We start from the raw sequence: 8,436 nt of genomic DNA, 5'->3' as shown, positions 1-8,436 counted from the left end.
TCAAAATGAAACAACACACTGAGGATCTTTGAGAAGTACTCTGACCTCCAAGCGAGCTGGCTGATATGGAGGCTGAGCTACATGTAGAAAGCCAAAGGAATTTCTGCAGGACATCATCATGCCAAGCACAGCAGTAAACTGAGTCCCAGCCCTTTTCACACGCTCAATGGTTAGATCTTGGGAAGGAATCAAAGAAGCCATTGTAAAATATCAAAATTTAAACCCTGATTTTGAATTTAAAATGTGTTAACATATGGTTGTGGCCTACACTCAGAAAATCTGTCTCCTTCAGATGGTGTCTCAGTAGCACCACATGGTTTCAAGTGGCTATTCATTAAATTTCTCCATGAAACTACCAGATACAGAATAGATAAATTGTCACTGTCTTAAATCAACCCTTGGGAAAGGAAAACTGTGTAAAGACAGCAGAGAGGAAACATTGTTCAAGGGAAAAACAATCTCCAGAAACTGTTGTTAAAGAAACAGAGGCCCTCTTTCCAGCCAGTGCCGAGCGATGGACATCTCTTGGGACAACTGGCACAAGTGCCACAAAACCAGGGACAAGAGAAAGCCCTACCACAAGAAGCGGAAGTATGAGTTGGGGCACCCAGCTGCCAACACCAAGACTGGCCCCCGCCGCATCCACACAGTCCGTGTGTGGGGAGGTAACAAGAAATACTGTGCCCTGAGGCTGGACGTGAGGAATTTCTCCTGGGGCTCAGAATGTTGTGCTCATAAAACAACGATCATCGATGTTGTCTACAATGCATCTAATAACGAGCTGGTTCGTCCCAAGACCCTGGTGAAGAATTGCATTGTGCTCATTGACAGCACACTGTACCGACAGTGGTACGAGTCCCACTATGCGCCGCCCCTGGGCTGCAAGAAGGGAGCCAAGCTGACTCCTGAGGAAGAAGAGATTTTGAACAAAAAGCGATCTAAAAAAATTCAGAAGAAATATCATGAAAGGAAAAAGAATGCCAAAATCAGCAGTCTCCTGGGGGAGCAGTTCCAGCAGGGCAAGCTTCTTGCATGCATTGCTTCAAGGCCAGGACAGTGTGGCTGAGCAGATGGGTATGTGCTAGAGGGCAAAGAGTTGGAGTTCTATCTTAGGAAAATCAAGGCCCGGAAGGGCAAATAAATCCTTGTTTTGTCTTCACCCATGTAATAAAGGTGTTTATTGTTTTGTTCCAAAAAAAAAAGAGAAACAGAGGCATCACACTTACTAGAAAAACATATTCTATTTCATATATTATGGTGGTATGACGTGATGTTTTGACATATGCAGGCATTGTGAAATTATTAAATCAAGTAAATAAACATGCCCATCACCTCACATACTTATTTTTTATGGTGTAAACGTGTAAAATCTACTCTATTATCAGTTTTCAAGTATATAGTACATTAGTACCATGGAAGTCACCCTGCTGTGCAATAGATCTTCAAACTAATTCCTTCTGTCAAACCAAAACTCTGTACCCTTTCACCAATGCCTCAGCTTTCACATGCCCCTGACACCAGCCCCTGGTTGGCACCATTCTTCTCTCTACTTCTCTGAGTTCAACATTTTTAGATTGCATGTGTAAGTGAGATTATGGAGTAATTTTTTATACCTGGCTTATTTCACTTAACATAAAGAGTCAAATGCTCAACATCACTAATCATCAGGGAAATGCAAATTAAAACCACGATGAGATATCACCTCACACATGTTACAATGGCTTAGTCTCAGTCTGTCTTTGTGTTACTATAACCGAATACCAGAGACTGGGCAATTTCTAAAGAAAAGGAATTTATACTTTATGGTGCTTGAGTCAGAGAAGTCTAATATCAAGGCACTGACATCTCACAAGGGCCTTCTCACTGTGTCGTCTCACAGCAGAGGTGGGTGAGCAAGAGATCATTTGTCCACGAGAGAAAGGAGACTATCTTTTATTAGAAATTCACTCCTGTAATAACTAACCCACTCCAATGACAGTGACATTAATCCATTCATGAGGACAGAGCCTTCATGACCTAATCACATAATAAAGGTCCCACCTCTCAACACTGTTGCATTAAAGATTTTTTCCAAATCCTAAACTTTGGGAGACACATTTAAGTCATAGCATTCCATTCCTAATATCAAAATTTATGTCCTTATCACAATGCAAACTACATTCATTCCATCCCAATTGTCTCCAAAGTCTTATCCAGCATCAGTGCAAAAGTCTGAAGTCTAAAGTCTCATCTAAATCAGATGTGAGTGTGACTCAAGGCACAATTTAGCCTGATATAAATTTTTTCCATCTGTGAGCCTATAAAGTCAAAACAAGTTATCTACTTTCAAATACAGTGAACAATGGGGCAGGTATGGGATAGAAATTCCCATTCCAAAGCTCAGAGACAGGGAAGGAGAAAGCAGTGCCTAGTTCAAAACCCAACAGAGGAAAAAAACATTAAGTCTTATAGCTGAGACTTAATGTTTTTTTCCCTTGTTGGGTTTTGAACTAGTTCAACCATTGTAGAAGTCCTTGTGGTGATTCCTCAGGGATCTAGAACTAGAAATACCATTTGACCCAGCCATCCCATTACTGGGTATATACCCAAAGGACTATAAATCATGCTGCTATAAAGACACATGCACACATATGTTTATCGCAGCACTATTCACAATAGCAAAGACTTGGAACCAATCCAAATGTCCAACAACGATAGACTGGATTAAGAAAATGTGGCACATATACACCATGGAATACTATGCAGCCATAAAAAATGATGAGTTCATGTCCTTTGTAGGGACATGGATGAAATTGGAAATCATCATTCTCAGTAAACTATCGCAAGAACAAAAAACCAAACACCGCATATTCTCACTCATAGGTGGGAACTGAACAATGAGAACACATGGACACAGGAAAGGGAACATCACACTCGGGGGACTGTTGTGGGGTGGGGTGAGGGGGGAGGGATAGCTTTAGGAGATATACCTAATGCTAAATGACGAGTTAATGGGTGCACACACCAGCATGGCACATGTATACATATGTAACTAACCTGCACATTGTGCACATGCACCCTAAAACTTAAAGTATAATAAAAAAAAGTCTTATAGCTGGAAAATCATCCTCTTTGACGGCATCTTGTGCACACTGGGGAGGGGGAAGGGCCCCCAAGGCCTCCAGCAGTCTTGCCTCTATGGATTTTCTGGGTTCAGTCCACTCAGCCCCTCTCACAGGTGGGACTCTCAGGCCTCTAGCTCTCCTAGGCTGACTGGAAACTCTTTGTGGTGCCTCCAAACCCATATTTCTGCTTGGCATTGTGCTAAGGGTCCACTGTGGTGACTCTGTCTCTGCAACAACTCACTGCCCGAGACCTTAGGCTGTCCACAGCATTCTTTGAAATCTAGGTGGAGAAAGCCATGCCCTCGTGGTATTCTGCACACCTGCAGAATTAGCAATACATGGATGCCATGGAAGTTGATGACTTGTACCATTAAAGTGATGGCTTGAGCCACACCTAGGTCCTCCTGAGCCACATCATGGGCAGCCAAGGAGTGCTGTGCCTGGACACAGGGAACAGAGTCCTAAAGTGCCTGCTAGAAGTGAGGCCATAGATTTGCTTCAAATTTCTCCCACCATATATCCTCACTCATGGCTCTGAACTTCCACTTTACAGAAAGACCTAGGGATGAGCACAATTCAGCCACATTCCTTGCCACTTTAAGGGAAGGATGGCCTTTGCTCCATTTTCCGATGAGCTATTCTTCTTTTTCTCCTGAGACCTCATCAGAACGGCCTTTATTGTCCACGGTTCTACCAACATTCTAATGATCATCACCTAAATAATCTCTAAGAAGTTTCAGAATTTCCTCACAGCTGTCTTCTTCTGAGTCCTCAAAAGAATACCCCTAGTGTTCTAGTCATGGCAATCTAGACTTTTTATAACCTGATCCTCCAAATTATTCCAGTCTCTGTGCATTACTACTTCCACTTCTACATTTTGGGATATTTGTTATCACAACAGCCCCACCTCTTGATACTGATTTTTTGTCTTAGTCCACTTTGTGGTGCAATGAGTGAATACCACACACTGGCTAATGTGTAAGGAAAAGAAATTTATTTTCTCCCAGCTCTAGAGGCTGGGAAGTCAATGTCAAGGTGCTAGCATCTGGCAAGAGCCTTCTTGCTGTGATGCCCATGTGGAAGGCAGGAGAGCATGTGCAAAGGATGGAAAGGGGGCTAAACTCATTTTTTAATGAGGAACCCAGGCCTGTAGTAACTAATCTGCTACCACAATAAGTAACCTACTCTGATGATAATGGCATTAATTGCTTCATGAGGGCAGAGCCCTCTCGGCCTAATCATTTCTTAACATTCTCACCTCTGGACACTATGGAATTTGGGATTAAGTTTCCAATACACACCCTTTCTAAACAGCAGGGGCTTTTTAATAGGTTTACCACCCAAGGCTGCAGGAGGCTCTGAAGTAGTGGGTGGCTGTCCTTTGTGAGAATGGAGAGAAGTGAACTGACTGATGGAGACACAAGTAGATGAAGTAAAGGCATTCATTGCTTCATTACATGGATGGTGAGGGCGATTGAAGGCATTAACGGATTAAAGATGGTGGCAAAACCATCTGAGGTGGAGACCACGGGGAGCCCATCAGAAATGGAGGACACGTCCCAATAAATGGTGCTTCATTTCCCTGCAAAGCAGATGAAAGCAAAGAAGAAAACACAATGCCATAGTGTACACTGAGCAGTGGATTGAGAGAAGAGTTTCCTAAGGCGTAACTGACAGAGTGGAGAAGACACACGAATCTTTGCATGGTGCTAACATTTGGACTGTGGCTTCATTATTTCTTATTAATATTTTACTGAAATATCACTAGAAGGAGACTGAAAATGAAGTGTGAAAAGTTAAATGGGATTTCTGCTCTAAGTCCTTTTCAGATGAGAGGAACTGGGGAATTCCAGGGAAGAAACAATAATAGCTGCTGAGCAAGGCTTTTGCAGGGCAGGACAAGGAATCCCCAAAGAGAAAACGGAAACCTCAGCTTCACTTTGCATCTGCTCCTGAGCCAGGTCTTGAGCGACCCCTGTAGGTCCTGAGCGCCCCCGGTAGGTTCTGAGCATTCCGTGGTTGCTGGGCGCCCTCTGGTGGTGTCTGAGCCCTTCTGGTGGTTTCTGAGCCCCCCTCTTAGAGTCTGAGCCACCCTATTAGTGTCTGAGCCACCCTATTAGTGTCTGAGGACCCTGGTGGTGTCTGAGCACAGGTGAGCTCCTCTGAAGGAAGGGTCTACATGGGGACAGGCGTGCTTGTCTCAGGGAAGGGTCCACATGGGGACAGGTGAGCTCATCTGAGGGAAGGGTCCATGTGGGGACAGGTGTGCTTGTCTGAAGGAAGATTCCACATGGAGACAGCTGTGCTTGTCTCAGGGAAGGGTCCACATGGGGACAGGTGAGCTCGTCTGAGGGAAGGGTCCATGTGGGGACAGGAGTGCTTGTCTCAAGGAAGGGTCCTCACGTGGACAGGTGTGCTCTTTTGAGGGAAGGATTGACCTGGGGACAGGCATGCTTGTCTGAGGTAAGGGTCCACCTGGGGACAGGTGTGATTCCCTCAGGGAAGGGTCCACGTGGGGACAGAGGTGCTTGTCTAAGGCAAGAATCCACGTAGCGACAGGTGAGTTCGTCTCAGGGAGGGGTCCAGGTGGGGCGAGTTGTGCTTATCTGAGAGAAGCATCGAAGTGGGGACAGGTGTGCTTGTCTCAAGGAAGGGTCCACGTGGGGACAGGTGTGGTAGTCTCAGGGAAGGGCCCACATGGGGACAGGTGTGCTCATCCGAGAGAAGGGTCCATGTAGGGACAGGTGTGCTTGTCTCAGGGAAGGGTTCATGGGGACAGGTGAGCTTGTCTGAAGGATGGGTCCACATGGGGACTGGTGTGCTCCTCTGAGGGAAGGGTCCACGTGGTGACAGGTGAGTTTATCTGAAGGAAGGGTCCACATGGGGACAGTTATGCTCCTCTGAGGGAAGGGTCCATGTGGGGACAGGTGTGCTTGTCTCAGGGAAAGGTCCACGTGGGGACAGGTGTGCTCGCCTTGGGGAAGAGGACAGATGAGCTCATCTCAGGGAAGGGGCCACGTGGGGACAGGTGTGTTTGTCTCAGGGAAGGGTCCACATGGGTACACCTGTGCTCCTCTGAGCAAAGAGTCCACATGGAGACAGGTGTGCTTGTCTGAAGGAAGGGTCCACGTGGGGACAGGTGTGCTCCTCCAAGGGAAGGGTCCATGTGGGGACAGGTGTTCTTGTCTCAGGGAAGGGTCCACGTGGGGACAGGTGTGCCCCTCTGAGGGAAATGTCCACGTGGGGACAGGTGTGCTTGTCTCAGGGAAGGGTCCACGTGGGGACAGGTGTGCTCGTGTGGAGGAAGGTTCCACCTGGGGACAAGTGTGCTTGACTCAGGGAAGGGTCCACTTGGGGACATGTGTGCTTCTCTCAGAGAAGGGTCTACGTGGGGACAGGTGTACTCATTTGAGGGAAGGGTCCACGTGGGGACAGGGGGGCTCATCTGAAGGAAGGATCCACGTGGGGACAGGTGTCCTTGTCTCAGGGAAGGGTGCACGTGGGGACAGATGTGCTCATCTGAAGGAAGGATCCACGTGGGGACAGGTGTGCTCCTCTCAGAGAAGGGTCCACGTGGGGACAGGTGTGCTTGTTTGAGGGAAGGGTCCACCTGGGGACAGGTGTGCTCGTCTGAGGGAAGGGTCCACCTGGGGACAGGTGGGGTCATCTCATGGAAGGGTCCACGTGGGGACAGATGTGGGAGAGGGTGTGCCTGGTCTGAACTGGAGTTTGAGGGAAGAATTTCTCGAGCAAGTGTGAATCCTGAACATGACCTGTTTTTCAGGAAGGAAAGCAGACCACATGGAAGCAGATGAAGGAAAAAGCAGACCACGTGGGAGCCGGATGAAGGGAAGGTTTCTATGAAATTGAAACAGCCTATCTGCCAGTGGAGAAAGTTATTTCATCCTTTTTTGCCTGCAGTGAGAAAGGGGGAAATCAGAGCCACAGAGAAGAGAATGAAATGTCCCTGAGGACATCTGAGAATTAGAGAAAAGAAAGCCTCAGATTCTAAGGAGAAGTCCTCGCCACTTCCCATCTGAGCCTGCTCTTCAGTGGACCCAAGTGTCGAGTGCATCCTGCACATCTCAGGCCCCCAGGAGGGAGGGTCCTGTCTGGGTTCACACGGCATCCCCTCACTGTGTCTCCCACAGGAATACCTGGCTGTCCTGTGGGTTCCTGGAGCTCCGCCGCAGGGAGCGCTGCTTGTTGGATGAGTCTCTGGATGGAGATGAGGCTCTTGAGAGGCGGCGGTTGTTCGTGTTTCTCTTATAATCGATGCTCCTCAGCCAGTGCAACCCCTTGTCTAGGGGCCGGTGGACCGGGCCTCCGCAGTAACCACTGGCTGTGATGGAGAATCCGGAGTCGTGCCAGGTGAGGAAGGGGGCAGCCACGGCTTCTCCAGTCTTGAGCCTCACTCCTGCTGCTGCACCTGGGACAGGACAGCTGGGAACAAGAACAGTCAGTCCCTGTCAGTCATGGGACATCACAGTTATTGCCACAGCCCGTGTCTGGCCTCTGAGATGCTCACCTTCGGGAGGTGTCAGCAGGCACAGGAGAAGGCCCAGCAATCTCATCTTCTTCTGAACCCACCTTTGTCTTCCCCAGAGACACCGTCCCAGTCTGAGAAGTGACTGGATGCTTCCACAGCCCAGGGGTGGATTTTACCCCAGAGCTAAAACAAAAAATTACACGGGGTGGATGACTATTTATTTATTTATTTATTTAGAGACAGAGTCTCGCTCTGTCGCCCAGGCTGGAGTGCGGTGGTGCAATCTCGGCTCACTACAACCTCTTTCTCCCGGGTTGAAGCGATTCTCCTGCCTCAGCCTCCCTAGTAGCTGGGATTACAGGTGCCCAGCAGCATGCCTGACTAATTTTTGTAATTTTAGTAGAGACAGGGTTTTGTCACTTAGCCAGGCTGGTCTCAAACTCCTGACCTCATGTGATCTGTCTGCCTCGGCCTCCCAAAGTGCTGGGATTATAGGCATGAGCCACCGTGCCCAGCCTAGCTGACTCTTTTTATAAGTAGAAAAGTTAAGATATGGCCCCTACCTCCTGGTAGTTGAGCGTTGTGTAGAGTGCCTTTCCTCCTAAACTCATGTGGCACGCATGTCACTTGACATTTGGTGGTTGGAGGACACTTGGTCTGCGAGACAAATGGGAATAGGCAAAGGACAGCCCTGCCATTCTGATCCCAGGGCTACTTTCCTTCCAACCCCTCTTCCCTCCTGCCCTTCCTTGTTTCTAGCGCAGCTCCCCCTATCCACAGGCCCAGGTCTTGCTTCCTCAGTGCTGAGCCCAGCACAGCTCCTGGGCTCTTTCCTTGGGTCCC

The 8,436-nt window shown here is 48.1% G+C and overlaps 1 protein-coding gene and 1 long non-coding RNA gene across 2 annotated transcripts; one reads left to right on the top strand and one right to left on the bottom strand.

Annotated features, from left to right (window-relative positions):
- The first annotated feature begins 514 nt into the window (after positions 1-514).
- On the top strand, positions 515-1,192 carry LOC102723573 (40S ribosomal protein S8-like). The gene has a single exon (XM_047442800.1). It carries the CDS (start codon positions 515-517, stop codon positions 1,064-1,066), a length of 552 nt encoding a protein of 183 aa, XP_047298756.1. The 3' UTR covers positions 1,067-1,192.
- A 2,884-nt stretch (positions 1,193-4,076) lies between these two features.
- Positions 4,077-7,820, bottom strand: LOC107987381 (uncharacterized). Its single transcript, XR_001756137.2, has 3 exons — positions 7,633-7,820; positions 7,262-7,547; positions 4,077-4,686 (listed from the first exon to the last, which is right to left on the bottom strand). It is a non-coding gene; the product is annotated as an uncharacterized LOC107987381 (long non-coding RNA).
- Between the last annotated feature and the right edge of the window lie 616 nt (positions 7,821-8,436).

Source organism: Homo sapiens (genome assembly GCF_000001405.40).
Source record: "Homo sapiens chromosome 15 unlocalized genomic scaffold, GRCh38.p14 Primary Assembly HSCHR15_RANDOM_CTG1".
NCBI classification, from domain to species: domain Eukaryota; kingdom Metazoa; phylum Chordata; class Mammalia; order Primates; family Hominidae; genus Homo; species Homo sapiens.
Note: the sequence above shows the minus strand (reverse complement) of the source record. Positions and strands in the feature narration are given on the sequence as shown.